At 46.5% G+C, this 18,281-nt stretch overlaps 1 protein-coding gene across 17 annotated transcripts in view; it reads right to left on the bottom strand.

The window, feature by feature from the left end:
- Nucleotides 1-6,421: 6,421 nt before the first annotated feature.
- Nucleotides 6,422-18,281, bottom strand: part of SAMD4A (sterile alpha motif domain containing 4A) — a 228,000-nt gene continuing 216,140 nt past the window's right edge. For 7 of the 17 annotated variants that reach the window (XM_047431137.1, XM_047431136.1, XM_047431140.1 and 4 more), the window contains 3 exons: nt 15,290-15,397; nt 15,117-15,200; nt 6,422-10,821 (listed from right to left, as the gene is read on the bottom strand). In XM_047431137.1, the coding sequence (XP_047287093.1) occupies nt 10,793-10,821; nt 15,117-15,200; nt 15,290-15,397 (221 nt within the window). In that variant the 3' untranslated portion in view covers nt 6,422-10,792. The remainder of the gene's footprint in view (nt 10,822-15,116; nt 15,201-15,289; nt 15,398-18,281) is intronic. The other 10 variants (XM_047431138.1, XM_047431144.1, XM_047431146.1 and 7 more) reach the window with 4 other exon arrangements.

Below are 18,281 nucleotides of genomic sequence, written 5' to 3'. Positions count from 1 at the left end.
CTTTGTTAAAGGGGTGGCATATCAGATCAGTGGAGGAAAAATATATTAATAGTGTAGACACAACTGGGTACCCACCTTTGCATAGAAATACAATTGGTTCCAAACCTCGTATTTTATACTAAAAATGGTTCAAATATATATAAATATAAAATGAATCCATGAAAGTACTAGTGGAAAATATAGCTATCTCAAAGTGGAAAAGGCCTTTTAAAATATGATTTGAAATCCAGAAGCCATAAAAGATGAAGAAATTCAACCACATAAAAATAAAAATAAGTTCTTTATGACAAAAGACCAACTGGGAAAAATATTTGTAACTTATATCACAGACCAAAGGCCAATTTCTACAATATACAAAGAGCGGCTACAAAAATAAGAAAAGGACCCACAACTCAATGATAAAATGGGCAAATATATGAACACCCAGTTCAAAGGAAAATATAAAAGACTATTAAGCATATAAAAATGCTCAAACTCAGTCTCACTCGAGAAATAAATAAAAAGGGTGCTGATAGCATTTTTTTCACATATTAGATAGGAGAATATACAAAAGTTTGGTTTATGAATTGCTGAGAGTATAGGAAATAAAGCACTCTCATCCATTGCTGCTGGAAGTATAAATCTATAGAAGATGACTTGGCAATAACTAGCAGGATGAGCAATGATACTTGTGATGGTTAGTTACATGCGTCAACTTGGCTAGGCTATAATACCGTTATTTAATCACACACTAATTGGTGTTGCTGTAAAGGTATTTTGTAGATCTGATTAACATCCACAACCATTTGGCATTAAGGAGATTACCCTTGATAACCTAGGTGGGCCTCATCCAATCAGTTAAAGGCCTTAAGACCAAGAACTGACGTTTCTGAAAGAAGTTCTACCTCAAGGCTGAAACATCAAATCCTGGCTGAGTTTCCAGCCTATTGCACAAATTTCAAACTCGCCAGCCCTCACGATTGAGTCTTTCCTTAAAATGAGTATCTCTCCCCCTCCCTCCTCCCTCTCCCTTCCACACCTCCCTGAGACTGGTTCTGTTCCTGCAGAGAATCCTGGCTGATACAATCTCCTTTAATCCAGCAATCCCGCCTTCTCACAGTGGGAACCCTTGCATGACACACACGTAATTTATTCATCAGAGCCTTGTCTGTAATAGGGTAAAGGAAACCTGAGTGTCCATCAGTAAAGAGCTGGTTAAAGGAGTTCTGTTCATCCACAGCGTGGAACACTGTGTCGCTGTCAATATAGAATGGTCTCCAAAACTGATTTAGTGAGAAAAGAAAAATGCCACACCATGATGAACAGCGTGCATGGTATGCTTTTGTGTGTGTACAAAGGGGGAACAAAATATAGATCCATGTTTGCACATGGAGAGAATATCTCTTGGCAGGTACACAGGAAGCCTACACTGGGGGCCTGCAGTGAGGGGAACTGAGTGACTGGGACATGGGACAGAAGGGAGACTGTTCACTTATGCCCCTCTCTTCCACAAGACCACAAAAACCCTTCCAGCTGATGATGCCACTTGCCGGCAGCACAGCTACTGCCCTTCAGGGAGAGCCTACGCTTTTTGCCATGGCCCTTTAGGACCGGCCCTGCCTCCATCCCCAGTCCCCACTCCTACCCACCCCACACCTCCAACTCTACATTCCCTGCATTCAGAATTCCGGCTGGGTATTTACTTATTTCAGTTCTTCAAATTCACATGTTCTCTCTTGCCCCTAAATCTGGACTGTCCCTGAGGCCCTCTCCAGGAATTCCTGCTTTTAGTCCTTCTGGTGTTGCTTCCTTTCTTCCGAAGGACCTGGGTGGCTTGGGTGGTGTCTACCTTCCGGGCAGTGGGCCATGGGTGAGGAGGCTTCCCCAGGGAACCCGAGGACCAGGGCAGAGCTCTGCCCCCTCTGGGGGGTGTCCGTCTCCTGCCTGGGGAGCAGCATAGCAGGCTTTATTCTCCCTCCTGCCCTCTTCTAGGCATGCTTACTCCTGGGCTCATATCATTCAGGCTAAGAGACTGAAAGAGCCCCAGGGGCCTGCAGAGGCATCTCGTGCTTTCCCAAGTGGCCATAGGGAAGTCGCCTCACTGTAACTCTGGACTTCACCTCCCATTTGCAGAAGGAAATTGGTGCTTGTGTCCTGCAAGGTATCTCCTATTTCCAGACATCCAGTTGGTTAGCACCCTGTCCTCATCAAGCCTGTGTACAAGGAAGACAGCCTGTCCCCTTAAATCTTTGTGGTTTGGAGGATGGGTTGAATATAAACACTTAAGATGCACATCTGGCCAGGTGTGGTGGCTCACTCCTGTAATCCCAGCTACTCAGGAGGCTAAGCCAGGAGGATTGCTTGAGGCTGGGAGTTCAAGACCAGCCTGGGAATGCAGACCCTCATCTCTTTTTTTCTCTTAAAAAGGCACACACTGGGTAAACTCAGTGAACTTCAGGTGAATGAGGGCTTGGATTCTGTGTCTTACAAGAGCAAAATGGAGTTGGCTAAAAGATGAAGTAGTCCAGACCCCAGAGCACAGGAACAAGAGAAAGTGTGTAGAATGTGCTCACTGCCCTGGAATTGGATTGGCACAACTGACAATGGATGGAGGAGAATGATTCATCATATATGCATTTTCTCTCATCCACAACTTGCTGTCTTTATACTCATCCATCTTGGATGAGTAACAATCATAGGAAATCAATGTTTAGCCTCTTCTCAGTGAAGAGATCTGGGATAAATATAACAAAGCAAATTGCTGAGGTCCAGTTGGACAGATTTGATTTGGGTTTGTAGGTTCTCCTGACCTCACTTAACTGAGGCTGTTTTATGGGGCTTGGTGTGGTGACTTATACCTGTAATCCCAGCACTTTGAAAAGCTGAGGTGGGGGGCTTTCTTGAGCTCAAGAGTTGGAGACCAACCTGGGCAACATGGCAAAACCTTGTCTCTACAGAAAATAAAATTTACCCAGGTGTAATAGTGCTTGCTTGCAGTCCAAGCTACTCAGGAGGTTGAGGCGGAAGGATCACCTGAGCCTGGGGAGATTGAGGCTACTGTGAGCTGTGATTGTGCCACTGCACTCCAGCCTGGGTGACAGAGACCCTCTCAAAAATTTTTTCTGACATGGACAACCAGAAATATGTCCCAACACTGGAGAAAGCCGAGGGACACCCAGGCCTGGCTGTGGTTCCCACAGGAAGATTTAACTGGAGCTTTTTGGCAGTCCCAAGTAACAACAGCTCTGGTAGGACCATTTCACTCACCAAAGCTCCGATTTTGTTTCTCCTGGATTAGACTTAAAAAACAAAACCTCAAAAAACTGTGCAACACACTATTTAAAAACATGCACTCCAAGTCAAACGTAAACACAAAGGGATATTTTATAAAGCACAAGCTTTATAAGGTTGCCAGAACATTTCTCTGTTGGTTTCAAAAATTGAAGTAGAAACCACTTAAGAGTGAAAAATATTCCATGGAGGAAATTCTTGGACATTGAATTCCCAGGTTTACGTCACAGAGAAGTCAATGTCTGTGGACAAGAGCCCCATGGGCAAGGCAGGTTGTGGGAAGCCAGTGGGCTGGGTTGAAGTTTGGGAGGACAGTGTGCACTGTGAATAATCATTTGCTCCAATGGGGCTCCAGGCTCCTCAGTGATGACTGAGTTATAAGGCTTAAGTTTTGCCAAAGTGTCCCAATTTCCCAATCATGTCTCCCAAATGTATAGACAGAAACACACACACACACACACACACACACACACACACACACACACACACACACACATCATTCTTTGTTCTTAATCTCTAGAGGCCAGAAACCGACAGTGGGAAGTCTAAAGGCCATGGTCTAAGGGTTGCTCTGGAAACAGCGCTCTAAAAATTGACCCACTTCCAAAGACTTCCAGTTCAGGCTCTAACCTCCCACCACCAGTCCCGTTACCTCCTGGACCTTCCTCTTCTTTCCCCATGTCCCCTTTCCCAACTATTTTGCTTTCAGCTTTTAGAAATGATGAGTGAACAAATCAGTCGCCATTCTTGGGCCAACTTTGAGGCACCCCTCTGACCTGATGCGTCCCTCTCTATTGTATTGAGGGCATTCTTGGCCTGGTTAGGGGTATGTTGGTATCAGGATTTCCATCATCTCATCCTGAGAGCAGTCTCCCATACTGAATTTTGCAGGTTGCCCTCAGAACTTAGGGAGCCAGAATAGAAATACTTTATAGCAGTTGGATGAAATACTTTTGTCTGTTAAATAAGATATTGGGGGAGGGAAGTTGTGAGTTTATTTTTATTGTATTTTACAAAATAATTGGACTATGTAAATTGGAAAAAAACCAACCAGTATCACAACTGGAATTCACAGATGGTTTGAGACTCACTGGATAAGCTAGGAGGACCTAGAGCTACTGCTAAGGGTCCAGAGGCTGAAGGGCCCAGTGAAGGGGTGGCTTTCAAGTGTTAAGAGGTATGGATGGAAAATAGCAAACGTGGAAGTGCTTACAGAAGCCTGTGGAATGACATCTGTGAGACTGGTGCTGGGGTGCACTATGGGGGAAAATGGCAAAGTGTGGGCTGCCACAATGGTGCTCTTGGGTGGGCCAGAGCCACCCTAAAGGCTCCATGTTTTCCTAGAGAAGGATTAAGCACTGGTTGTGGATGACATTTTCACTGATGAAGGCGCTGTCCCCCAACCTTCCCTACAACCACTGGGGACAGTAGGTCTTGGGCTGATTGTGAGTCAGGTCCAGTGATAGATGTAGTGACTGTCCAAGGGAACAAGAAACTTCCATCAGAGTTTGAATTCCTGGCTTGTGCTGCCTCTTTAGCTCCTGTCTGCGTTAGCACATAGAGTATGTGCAGATAAGACCCACTTCTGGACTCCCGGCTCAAATCCCCTGCAGCCTCTTCCAAACCATTGTGCTATATACATGTTCATTCCCCTCTAACAAGTGGCATTAAATCTCATTTTGGAAGGGAGGCTGTTGAGGGGCGTCCTAGCTGCTTTCCTCTATGGGTAATGTTTTCTCCAGGAATGAACATTCTATAACAAAGATCACTGGCAAAGAGCTACAGCTTTGCTGATAAAAATCACTAAGCAACCCCTCTTCAGACACCATGCTGAGCTCTTCATGGTCCCTCTCCTTTAAGCTCACAACTCTTACATTTACCCTCATTCCACGCATTTCAAAGTGAGGCTCAAATTTTCTCTTGCACACTCCTCTCTCCTTCCTTTATAATACTGCAGTCATACTAGATATAGCTCATCTGGGTTACAAGGATTCAACTTTATGAGGAATTACATTTTACATCTCAGCCTGTGAGAAATTTTGCTTCCAGGGACCAATTTCGGTTTTACATGTCAGTTGAGCAGCTGAGCCTGATCAAAAGGGAGTCACTGTGTGGTCACTGTCATAATGTCAAGCTGTGGCTGCCTCTCAGAACTCTGGGGTTGCTAGGCTATGGTGGCAGGAACCTCTCTATCATATGTTTTCTTTTGTTTTCACCTTTTATTAGAGGTTTAATTATATAAACTTTGAATATCATAAGCCAAAAAACAAACCCAAGGCTTAGAGACATAAGTAACTTGTCTAAGATCACACAGCTAGAGAATGCTTGAGCCAGAATTCAAAACCAGGTGCATCTCTCCACTCATATGCTTAACTGACACAATATTTAGAATGTATATCGTACAGGAATTAGAAATATTAGAATGAGATTCAAGCCATGGATAGGTAAGCTCCAAAGAGGCTGTTTCTTGATGCCATGATTAAGGTGTGAAATATTTCAAAGACAATGAGGGGAACAAGCTATAAACAACAATGTCTGTAAAGTTAGAGTTTGTATTTAGAAACATGCCCCTAAGTCTGGTGACAAATTTATTGGCTGTTTTGGGCACAGATCAAACTGCAAACATTTCTAAAACCCTCTCTCCATATTTTTGTTAAAAAGCAGCTCATAGCTAAAGATGTGGCATGTGCAGAATGGCCAGGTGGGAATAGTTAACAGAGATCCCATTCTGGTTTTTCCTTGAGGGGGCTATTTGACTCAGTTCTTCTTTTCTTCTTCTTGTCGTCTTTTTTTTTTTTTTTTTGAGACAGAATTTCCCTCTGTTGCCCAGGCTGGAGTACAGTGGTGCGATCTTGGCTCACTGCAACCTCTGCCTTCTAGGTTCAAGTGATTCTCCTGCCTCAGCCTCCCAAGCAGCTGAGATTACAGGCATGCACCACCATGCCTGGCTTATTTTTTTTTTTTTTTTTTGTATTTTAGTAGAGACAGGGTTTCACCATGTTGGCCAAGCTGGTCTCGAACTCTAGACCTCAAGTGACCAACCTGCCTCAGCCTCCCAAAATGTTGGGATTACAGGTATAAGCCACCACGCCAGGCCTCAGTTCTTATTTTCTATTCAATCATGTATGTTGAAAAAAAGAAAAAGACACACCAGTGTTACAAAACCTTGTATTAATCATTTCCCTTCACTTTCAATATAACGTTGATATGAAATATAGCCATGATTCTTAGTTACATGGGAGGAAATGAATAATAAATACATTGTAGCAAGTTTAAACCACAAGGGTGTTTCACTGGTAACAACATTTGAAAACTGTACACTTGCAAAGAACAGCATCTTCAAACATTAGTATATCTGTATATCAGTAAAGCTTTTACATGTAACAAACATGCTCTTTCCATATATGACAAATTTAAAAAATATGCATTGCTTGGCAACATGAACTAGGCAAAAATATTTCTTTGTTCACTAACTTTATACAGGAAAACAGGACGAAAGGCATGCATGTACAATACAGATGCCTGCACAGGGCATGCAACAAAAGAAAGCTTTTTAAAAGTCAGCTTACATTAGGCATAAATACATGAGGATTATATATTAATAAGGGAGGAAGTTTTCTGTTCGACATTATTAACATTCCTGTTTTCTTCCTATTCCTCCCAGAGGAATACACATTCACCTTTAAGTAAAGATAAAGGAATTACAAAAAAATAAAACTCACTTTGCAAACATCTCTGATGACTTGTAAAAAAAAAAAAAATCAACATTAGTGTTATCACAGCTCCATGTGCAAATTATCCTTCTGCAGGTTCTTCTTGTAACAGGCACACCTGAGCGCCTTGGTCAGGCTGCTTCCCCAGGCCCAAGCTGGAGCTGACTGCTACAGACATCTCCAGGGGACCAATGAGGCCAGGCCTGCTTTTCCTCCCCTTGCCCGCCTTCTGGTTGCATGCTTTTGCATTCAGCCCAGCTCAGCCCCCAAGCCCAGGCTCCTGGGGAATAACATCTACAACCTTGCACCGGCAGTAGCTACAAGAGGTGCAGAAGAACAAAAGATCCGGAGAAGGCTCCCATCCCGTAAAAGGCAGCCAAGGACACCTCAAAAGAAACCCTTGTTTCCCTCAGTGTCTCTTCAAACGAATGGGAGAGAGGGGGGCCCAGCTGTAGCTCCAATCCTGAGTACCAAAAAGGAACCCTCAATACACAGGATTTGAGAGCTCGGTGCAAAGAGCCGCCCGGACAGGCAGACCCAGCCACATCTATTTTGCTTGCTGGCTCTCGTTTAAAAAGTGAAAACTCAAAAGCATGTGAAAAAACAACATATCAGCAGCAATGTTTCATGTCTTGTACACAGTTCATGTGTTTCTTCCTACTGTTTCTGGTAAGAAGCCACTATGAATAAAAAGCACCAATAAAACATCATACATGATAATATTGTAGAACACCACTGTCCCTAGGACAATGTAGAGATGCCAAGTACACACTGCTTAAATCAGAACAAGGGGGGAAAAGCATGTAGTGAAATAGATTTTACTCTGAGATTTTAAAATTGTTACTATTTTCTTAATATAAAACAGTTGCATTTGGTGGGGGTCAATGGGTAAATACAAAAAAAGGCACTGCTGCTTTTATTACTAAATATCTGACTTCACAGCCTCATGCATGCAACTGTTTGATTCTTTTATAAATAAAATTCTTTTGCTTTAGGATTTTTAAATTGAGCTATATACCTGTAGTCAACACAGGACTCAAAACAAGGTGGGGACAGGGTCTTAAAATTTATCAAACACTCAACTTAAAAAAAAAATTAAAACACTAATAGCAAAACACAACTAAGTAGATAAATCTATACACTGTCAATGAAAAATAAGCTTTTCTTCTTTAAAAAAAGAATTATGTTGTTATTAATAACAGACTTTATCATGGTTACCAGCCATAGCAAGTTAATAAGTAACATATCCAAAATAATATCTCTAATAATCAGATAACCATTGTTTCTATATTCAGTGAAGGAATAAATAGAAATTCAGATTTGCAGATACTTTAAGGTCTTCTTCCTTTTAAAGGATTCATGCGAATGTGATTGTGTTCACAATCTGTTTTCTGAATAACATGAGTCTTTATGGATATATGTGTTTTTGCAGCAGATCCGAATGCTTTCCTTTCTCAGCAAGATGTGTAATACCATGGTTTTTTCTCCTCTTTATTCACTTTCTCAGTATCCTACAAACCCACATTCGCAAACCCTCTGGTCTTACCTTTGGCCTTCAACCTTTGACCTATTCTTCCTGCCTTACATGTGATCGTCCATCCCAACACATTCCCCAAGTAACACTAAGCTTGTTTAGAAAAGGGATGTGGGGGATGAATGTTAATGGCACTTGGTTAAAAATAATCAACTAAAAAATGCCATCTCTTTCTGCACATGGATTTGCATCTTTAGAACTTAGTCACCCAAGGAGAGGTCTGAACCTTTTTTTTTTAATTCAGCGAATGAAATTGTGGATTCAAGCCTTCTCTGCTCACGAAAGGCTTTCTATGGTTACATTGTTCTCACCTTCTTAGACTCAAAAGGGCTTCAAAAACCTGGTGGTGGCATCCAAGGCTGGGTTGGGTGCATGTTTTTGATCTTGAAAGTAAAAGAAAATTGTTCGGATTTCATTAAGGCCTTTTAGGTCTGTATGTAGTTCATTAGCTTTTAAAAAAAAAAGGGCAGTGATTTCCATAGTCTGATCTTCTGAATTTCAACTCTGACTTCACACACACACACACACACACACACACACACACACAACCAGGCACCCGACTCATCCATGTAACAAACAGGCCTTGTACCATCTCCCTGATCTTGCCTCTGGCTGAGCATTCATACCTTCATTTACACAACCTGATTTTCCACACAACTCCTCTTTGATTTCCTCTAATACCCTCCACTGTGTCAAATTCTGAAATGTAGCCTTTCTTGCCCTTCATAAACAGAGCTATTACTTTGTGGTAGGTACCACAGTTTCTCAATCTCCCACCAAGTAACGAGTGTCTTTTTCCTCCCCTCTGTGTGGATGGATAAATCAACTAACACAGCAAATCCCTAATTCATACTGTGCGGATAGCGCTGTCATTTCCATCTTGAAATCAACCTTTCCTACATCTTTCATCGCCCACTGGAGATGGCGGGGCTGTGCGGTGTGGGCCAAACATCTCCCTGCATGTGCTCTCTGGACTTGCTGACTGACCCCTCTGTACGCTGTTGCTGGGCCTTTCTCCCCTCCTCTCCCTCAGCAGTGACAGGTGAAGTAGATGCAGCCTCCAGGCTCCAGTTCCTACAAGCAACCCTAATGTAAAGGTTTTGAGCTCATTTTCTGGGTATCAAACCTCTCACAAGGGGAAAAAGTCCATCCTTGCCTTTTCTCCTCCAGTGGAACTTGTACCCACCTGTGTGTGTGTGGAGCAAGGCTGGGAGTGACAGGATAATGCCCCATGGGTGGGGTGGAAAGGGAGGGAGGCCTCTCCGTGACAAGCAAATCCAGCACAGAAAGAGGCTGCAGGATTCTTTGAGAATCTCTGGGTGCCCTGCGAGCAAACCCATAACTGATCACATGATGTCCTCATCCTTGTGCGCTCACCCAATGCTGTGCTCATTCCAGCCACGTCCATGTCCTTCAAGTCCACCCATACGCTCCTCCCACCTAACGGTGAAAGACGGACAGCTCAGGCCTACATGACTGCATCCATCTTCCCAAGAAGCAGAGCTTGGCAGCCGTTTTGAGAAGACAACTCTGCTGCTCTTATAAAAATAGAGGGAAAAAATGAATCCGTAACAACAACAGATCCTTTACGAAAACCATAGTATGAAGAGAGGTTCTATCCAAACTCTTTACACATTATGTACCCTTTAAAATTATTATGTAAACAATACACAAATCAAAGTTTAGCTGAAGTTTTGTTGCAGGGAATTTCTTCCTTCTTTCCCCTACTGCCATGGGCCCTCTCCTATGGCTGTTTCCAGCAGGGGCCTCAGGGACATCCAATCAGGATTAGATTGGATATAAAAGGGAAGCCACTATCTTGCTTTGGGTGCACGTGCCCGCGATATCCTTCTGTGGCCTGCCTGTGAAGCCAGGCCTTCCGAGAAGCCTCCCCAGGGCCAGGGCTTCTGCTGTCCTCTTATGTGTCTCCTATCTCTTTCATGGCAGTACTCTTTCCCCTGTCCCCGTTCCATCCAGAGAGCTACCTGCATTCCCTCCACCCCCCTCCCAGTCTCATAATTCCCTAGAGACCCCTCCCCACCCCACACACCAAACCATCCCATGACAGAAACAAATGACAAAATAACCAACCCCAGGTCTACTGATATGTTTACGAGGATGACCTACGCTCTCACAAAATCAAAACGGGAGAGGGACCAGGGGGAAAAAAGGCTGCAAAGTATCTTGGAGGATTCTGTGCAACCCTGAAGATGGCGGACACTGGACCCGCAGCAGTCGATTTCACGGCCAGCGCGGTCACTCTCGTCTTCAGCTTCTAGATGGTGGAGGTCCGGTCAACCCCGTCTGGGAGAGAAAGCAGCAAACGATGGGCACAGGTGAGCAAAACAATCCAGTTCGTGCCCACCTATGCCAACGCCATGCACGGTGGGCCTCCCAGCCTCTGAGGGCAGAGAAGGGCACCTACGTTCATGTGTTCACGCATTTACATACCCACCCACATGATATCTGGGGAACAGCTATTTTTGCCAGGAGCCATATTGAACCTGAGAACCAAGATGAAAATATCTAATCCTCACCTCCCAAGTACTTATATTTGAGGGTAGACACAGACATGTAGACAGACAATAATGCTATATGTGATCACTGCTGTAATGGAGTAGGTACCAAGAGAGCAGGATCGTGGAGGAAGGAATGATGGCTGCCCGGTTGGCCTGGGAAGTCAAGGACAGTTTCAGAGAGATACAAAGTGACTTTTGTAGCTGGTGCTGGCAGGAGGAGGAGGGTGGGGATGGTGTGCGGTGCATGCATAGGTGGGATGATAGGTCATCCGGTGGTGGAGCTGAGGGTGCGTTGGAGGTTTAGGATGAAGGATGGGGAATGCAGTAGAGGAGATGGGGTGGAAGAGCCAGGCAGGGGCTGCAACGGACACGCAGGTGGACCTGTCTAGCTCACATCCCTTTCTTTGGCAGCCTCTCCTTCTCAACCCACGTCCCTGATGAGACACTGGGGACAAGGTGGCTGTGACCCTGTCCACAGCTGAGCAGACCAGAGGGATGGACACATCTGACCCAAACAAATCCAGATTCTCTGTCTCGAGAATCTGATCAAAGGCAGAGATGTCTGAGGTAGGTGTTGTGGGCACTTAGAACTGAACAGTCTTGGGGAGGTGGGAGAGTGCTGAGGCCGCCCAGAATCTGCCACATCTACGTTTTGGAGAAGTGGATGACCCAGGCTACAGAGAAGGCAGGGGATATGACCATCAGAGGTGTGAGGCCTGCCCGGCCCCTTTTTGGCTGTCTGCTTACACGTGGGTTCTAGAACGGTCCCCAGGAGCAGACCATAGGGTCTTGCATACCATGAACAAGAGCTTAGAGGTAGGTAGTTGGGGAATTATAAGCAGTAGAGTAATGAGATTTAATTTTAGAATGGTTTCTCTGGCAGCTGCATCAGATAACCTGAGGAAGGATAAGGCTGGTGGCAGGTGGACCAGTTAAGAGGCCCCTATAACAGTCTGTGCCAGAACTGACAAGGATTTTTTCCAGTGAGCAGAGAGAGGCATGGATTAGCCATCACAGGCGGTAGGAATAACTGCGTTCAGTGACCACTAAATGTGGGTGAGACAGGGCTGTGGGGTGCCTCCCTGGCTTTGCTGATGTCCCAGTCCAAGCCCCAATATTACAGAACTGGTCCACCAGATGCAGCATCTCTATTTGCTTGGCAGAACTTGGGTGTGAGAAGGGAGTGGCAGTGTGTTCCAGGGAAAGCTGGAGGACCCAAGTGACAGGCGTGCTGAGGCCACCACAGGGGGTTGGTTCCTGGCTTCCTTGTGGGTGGAGCCAGGCTGGCAACTCTTGCCAGTGGGGCCTTGGAGGAGAAGCACTTCCTCAGTTGAAACTTTTGAGATAACTGTAGGTTCACATGCTGTTGTAAGTAATAGTCCAAACAGACCCAGTGCACTTGTATATAAGTTCTGTATGATTTTAGGGGAGATTTTAAAGAAAGGAAGCAATGGTCCCTGAGTGTGTCAGTGGTGTCAGATCACCAATCCTAGAGGCCAACAGATGTGAGCCTCTCTTTCTCCATTCCTGAGTTGCAAGCATTGGAACCTCTTTCACTGTGCTTTCCTCTCCCTGCCCGTTCCTCTTCCCATAAAAGGACTTGACTCATTAGCATACTGTCTCCAGCAAGGCCATCTTTCCTGGCACCTGGAAGGGGTTGGCCAGCAGAGAAGCTCTGTCATATTGGGAGGGCACACTGCCACTGTGCCCAACTAGGCCACCCTGAACTTAATTTGCATTCTCTGCTCAGGAAACTGCTTACGAGGCTTCCCACCAGAGGAGATCATTGGGAAAAAACACAGCACTAAAAAAGCTTAGGAGATTAACAAGATGAAAACATTAGCAAAAAACCCATCGGTTCAGAGAGGTTTTCTGTAAAAACAGAACAGACTGAAAAAAACGAAGTCTTTTCAATGAAAACCTTCCTTTAATAAAGAGCATTTGGTATTCTTGCTGCTAATGATGATAATGTTGGTACTTAGCAGTTTGATATGAGCCTCCAAAATGCCAATTGTCTGAGATGTATCAAGCCCTGGGGGAAAAGGTCAGTTCTCCTTTTTCTTTGGTCAAAAGCAGTGAAAGACTGAGTCAGTCCCCCACCCAGCTGGCCACTGTCGAGCAGGGGAGCACAGGGGCTTCCCTCCCCATGTCAGAGCTCTGGCAGGTGCCAGCTCAGGGGACTCACTCACCAGCTGCTATCCTAACTCTGGCCCCAGGGAGACTGTCATTACTACTTTTAATTGAAATATTTGCATATCATAAATTGCACCCTTTGAAAGTATACAATTCAGTGGTTTTTAGTATATTTGCAAAGCTGTGCAACCCTCACCACTATCTAATTCCAGAATATTTGCATCCTCCTCCCTTCAGCCACTGGCAACCACTCATCTACTTTCTGTCCCAGTAGATTAGTCTATCCTGGACATTTCACATAAATGGAATCATACGCTCTGTGGTCCTTTATGCCTGGCTTGTTTCACTCAGCATAATGTTAAGATTCATCCACTGCATCGCATAGGTTGGTACTTCTTTGCTTTTTAAAGGCTGAATGCTCTTTCACTGTTTGGATACACCACATTTTTTTGAGCCATGTTCATCCTTTGGTGGACATTTGAGTTGTCTCCCATTTCTCATTAGGGGGCTGCTGACCCAGTCTCCTCTATGAGGTAAAGATGAGCTGGCAGCACCTCCTGCCAGAGGTACCAGGGATGGCCCAGTGATGTTCCTGAGATCTGAATGGCCAAGGCAGAGAGCAGTGGCTCGCAAATGAGGCTCTTTATAGAGCTCTGGGGGAAGTCACAGAAGGGGCTGTGTCTTCCCACCATCTGTTTGGTGAAGCTCTGTGATGCCCTTGGAAGGCTTTCAGCTCCCCCTGATGCTAAGGTCAGGTGGGTGTGGTCCCGGGCCCACCACTCTGCTCCATGCAGAGCACTGATCTATTTCATATTTGGTTTCAGGATAAGATTGTGTTTGCAGAGACTAAAAATCTAACAACCTTAGGTCTGGAGGACAAGGCTCTCTGAAGCAGCAGAGGATGGCAGTCTTTTCCCCACCACTGCCAGGTGGCGCACGTCTTGGCTCTAGGTGTGCAGACAGCCCTTCTCTGGGTGGGTAAGTGTGTCTAGACTGGATAGGGCTATCGCTTCTCGGCCTTTTGGCTAAGAGCAAGTGTAGACTGGATAGGGCTATTGGAAAGGCTCACAGGAGGCCTCTCTGTGTCTCTGTGGCACAGAGCCTCCCAGGAAGCTGGCAGGAAATGGCAGACATCTCTTCTCTCCTCTGCCTGCCAAGCATCATAAATATCCAGGCCCAGAGAAAGGTGCCCGCTTAGTACCAGGAGGGAGCTGAAGGCCTCCCAGGGCTGCTGTGACCAAGCATGGCTTCCAGCCAAACACACGGGGGAGCACAGATGCTTCTGTGAGCTGCTTGTGGGGCCACAGCCCTGCACAGCACAGCCCCCATTCTGGGCTTGGGCAGTGGACGTGCAGGCGCCTCTAACTCAACCTGTCCCTGTCACACAGGAAAGGACACCTCAGCCTGCTTTGGGCTCCAGGTGTCAAGAAAGTTGTTTGCAACTGGGAGATACACAAACAAGCTGGGTTTTCTGTTTTTCAAAAATTATATTTCTAAGGCAAGCTGGGCTATGCTTGGACCAGGCTGGGGGATCTAGTGCAGAGAAGGGAAGCATCCAGTGTTGTGCGGGATATTCCTACTAAAAGCCATGTCTCATGTCCCTGACTCCTCCAGGCCTGGCACTTGGCTGGGACAACTGCTGTGGTGTGATTCCCATGTGCACTGGGAGGTGGAGCTTCTGGGGACAGAGGGACAGCTTTGATTGCCAGGTCCCTGACTCACCTCCCAGAAAAGGAGGAGAAACAGGGCACTGGCCACTTGGCATGGTGCCGCTGGAAAATGGTCCAACAGTACCCTAAGGCCACTCTTTCTCCCTGTCCCCTGCCTACCCCTCCTTGTCCTCCCCCAATTCTCCTGAGCTCCTGCCACGGTATAGACAGCAGATGGCCAGTTCTCCCAGGCACACGGTAACAGGGACATGGGGACATGCAGGAAGAACACACTCACCTCCCAGGGCGTGTTCGGTCATACTGAGGCACAACGACTCCAGCCTGTTGTTGATGTCAGGTTCGGTCACGGGAAGCTGGAATTCTGCAGGCGATAAAGGGTTATGTTGGTGACAAGGAGGAGATAAGCAGGGTGCCACCTGGTTCCACCTTCAGGAGAAAGGTCTGGTGTACCTCCCTGGGAGGACTTGGGGACTGTCAGCGCTGGCATGGAAGGGGCTCCACTCAGGCTCAACCAACCTCTAAGGTCTGTTAAACACAGTCCACTGTGAACTTGGGAACCTGGAACAAAACGGAGACTAAAAATAGCTGGTCATGTCACAGTCTGTGCCTCCTCTGCTCAGAACCCTCCAGCGGCCTCCCATCAAAGTAACAGCCAACCTCCTGCCCTGGCCCATAAGGCCCCGCATGATCCAGGCCCTTGTTATCTCTGTACCCTCATACAGCTCTCTCCTTCCTCTGCTCTGCCCCAGGCCCCCTCCTACCTCACGGCCTTTGCACCGCTGTTCCCTGGGGTGGTTTCCATGGCTCTCCCTGCCTTCACATTTCTGGCTCTATCATCTCCTTGGAAAGGACTTTGTTCCTTGTATGAGCCATGCCCCCACACTATCCCTTTCCCCTGCTTTATTTTTCTTCATAGCCTTCGCCCACAGCTGTCATATTTGATATTTGTATTCACTTTCTACTGTCCCCCTCCCCTGACCCCGCTGAGTGCTCACCTCATTGGAGCAGAACATGGCTCTGCCCCCTGTGCCTAGAGCAGGGCCTGGCATGCATCTAGAGTGGGAGAGGAAAGCCAGGGCCCAGCACGCACCTCTTAGTGTGAGACCACGTGGGGGGCTTTAGGTGTGCGGGCTCCTTAATCTGCCCAACAAGCCCAAGTGGGGTTCAGAGAGGTGAAGTCACTCATCAAAGTTAGCCAACTAACACAAAGCTGGGACAAGACCCTCTCTGACTCCAGAGCCGGGGCTCAGCCACCTGCCACAGCAACTGCAGGTAACTGTCAACACACTCAGCCTCGAGGGCCTCTAGAATCAAGGGCTGAGACACCCACTCTGCAGGCAGTAGGGGCTCGGCTCCCACTGACCGACAGTGCTGTGCACATTCTCACCACAATCTCCCCTCTACCACCTGGAACCCCTCTATCTCCCCAGGTTCCAATGTCGCCTCTTGTGAGCAGGAGGCAGTGTCTGGGAGCCACCTCCTCTCACCTGCTGGAGCCCTCACTGTCAGCACCTCCGCAGGCCTCATCCAGTGGCGACTTTAAATGTCCTCAACTACCTGGAAGTGCCTTGTAGACAGTGATGATGCTTCCCTATCTCTCTGAATCTCCCACAGCGCCCAGCCCTGGCCTTCTGCCTCATACATGTCTACTGAGCGAAGAAAAAGAGAAAGTAGAAGAAGTAGAAGGAAACTCTGACAGCTAAGAGTTGTGAAATCCTTTTTGTTTTTTTTTTTTTTTTTAAAGTTTTGTGACACTGGTTTGAAAAGAATTGCAAAATCCTAAGGGGAGAGGCAGAAAAAAAGTCCCAGAGGGGGTGTCCACAGCGGGGTGTGTTCCAGGTGACCGAGAAGTCTCCGTGTTGCCACCACCTTCCTCTGTGAGCCTGGGAACCTGTTCCATGCTGAGGGCCTTAGCTCCTCTACCTGTCAAGTGGGCAAAGCATCCCGGGGTCCCCCTGCAGGCCACTTGCCTGCTCCTTCATGTCTCCACCAAGGGAGCACATGGGGCCAGAGAGAGAAGAAAGAGAAGTGAAACGAAGTTGGTGGCTTGGTGGGATAGGAAGCTGAAACCAATGGTTAAGTCAAAGTTTTGTTTTCCTTGATTTGCTATACATTAAGATAATCTCTGCAATGTGTGTTTCCCATTGTCAGCTAATTCAGAGGCAGATGTTGCTTCCGTTATTTAAAAATCTCAGAAGCCTGGCAAAAAGGAACGCTATGGAAAGCACCAGAGAGCTGACTGTGTTCTTCCTGACCCATGTTCCGGCATCGATGGGTTTGGAAGACAACCGTGCCAATACGTGAGCAGACGGAGGCCGACTGAGCTTCCAGGGAAGTGGGGTGCCACAGAGAATGGCAGGAGTCTCCACCGCCCCCACCCACTAGTTGCTGTTAGAGTAGGGTCGGGGCAATTAGACAATTCCAGGGGGAAGAGATTTTAGTATTTTCATCCATTCATGTGAAAATCATATGCATGCAAAAATTAGCAGTCTTCAGGGTGTGAAATCTATAAAATAGAAACACAATTTTATATATAGCGAGTTAGCAAATATGAAAAAAAAAAACAAACCTCAGCAATTATAGCCATCCATATGCTCATTGTAAGATTTAGTTTACTCTCCAGCGCTCCCCTTTAAACAAACACTGTGGAGAGATTTGGATAAATAAAGATGCTCGACATTTGGAGAGAAGTGTTTCAGCTGCAGGATTTCTTGCCAACACGCAGCAAAATGCCATTTTCCAAGCCTGGGATTGCGTGTTCCAAAAAGGGGGCTGAGAAACGCAGGGCTCTCCGCTCCAGAATCCCCAAACCTTCGTGGCTGCTCTTTTAGGTGGGAAGTGGGGGTGTTCGCTTCTTCTCCCCAGCTCTTTGCTTCCATGCACTGGGGAGCCGTGACCCCCAACACTCCGAGTGGCTCTGAAAAATTCTAAGTCTTGGGAGAAGCCCATATGTTCACACTGCAGAGTTTCCTAATAGTGTGACTTTTTAATTGTGTATTTGATAAAAACAGATCCATGCCATCTCGCCGCACGTATAAGACAGAAAGACCAGTTGGGTGGAAAACAGCTTCCATCTCAGGCTAGGAACCCTCAGCTGTATGGGGCTAGGTGCCCCAGAGGGGCATTCGGGCAGCTCTTGCCCCACAGACCAACATAAACCACCAGGCCAACCCTTGCTGTGGCTCCTGTTAACCCTGAGGGCCCATCTCATTTATCCCAGGCCCCTGCCCCTCGTGGCCACAGACCAGGCAGATGGAGATGTGAGTCTTCAGGAAGGCAAAAGGAAAGACCCCTCTTTAACTGAGCCTCCTCTGCTCTTTCCCAAAGGAGGCATGTTTCTTCAGCTCAGATGGCATCTCTGAGGACCAGTATTCCAGTATTCAGTAAGGATCGCTAGTTTTGGAATCCCCAAGGTCTAGGCTGACTTGAGACATTAATTGTA

This window comes from Homo sapiens, chromosome 14 (genome assembly GCF_000001405.40).
Source record: "Homo sapiens chromosome 14, GRCh38.p14 Primary Assembly".
Classification (NCBI taxonomy): Eukaryota; Metazoa; Chordata; class Mammalia; order Primates; family Hominidae; genus Homo; species Homo sapiens.
The sequence above is the reverse complement of the archived record's forward strand: the minus strand, read 5'-3'. Positions and strand labels throughout refer to the sequence as shown.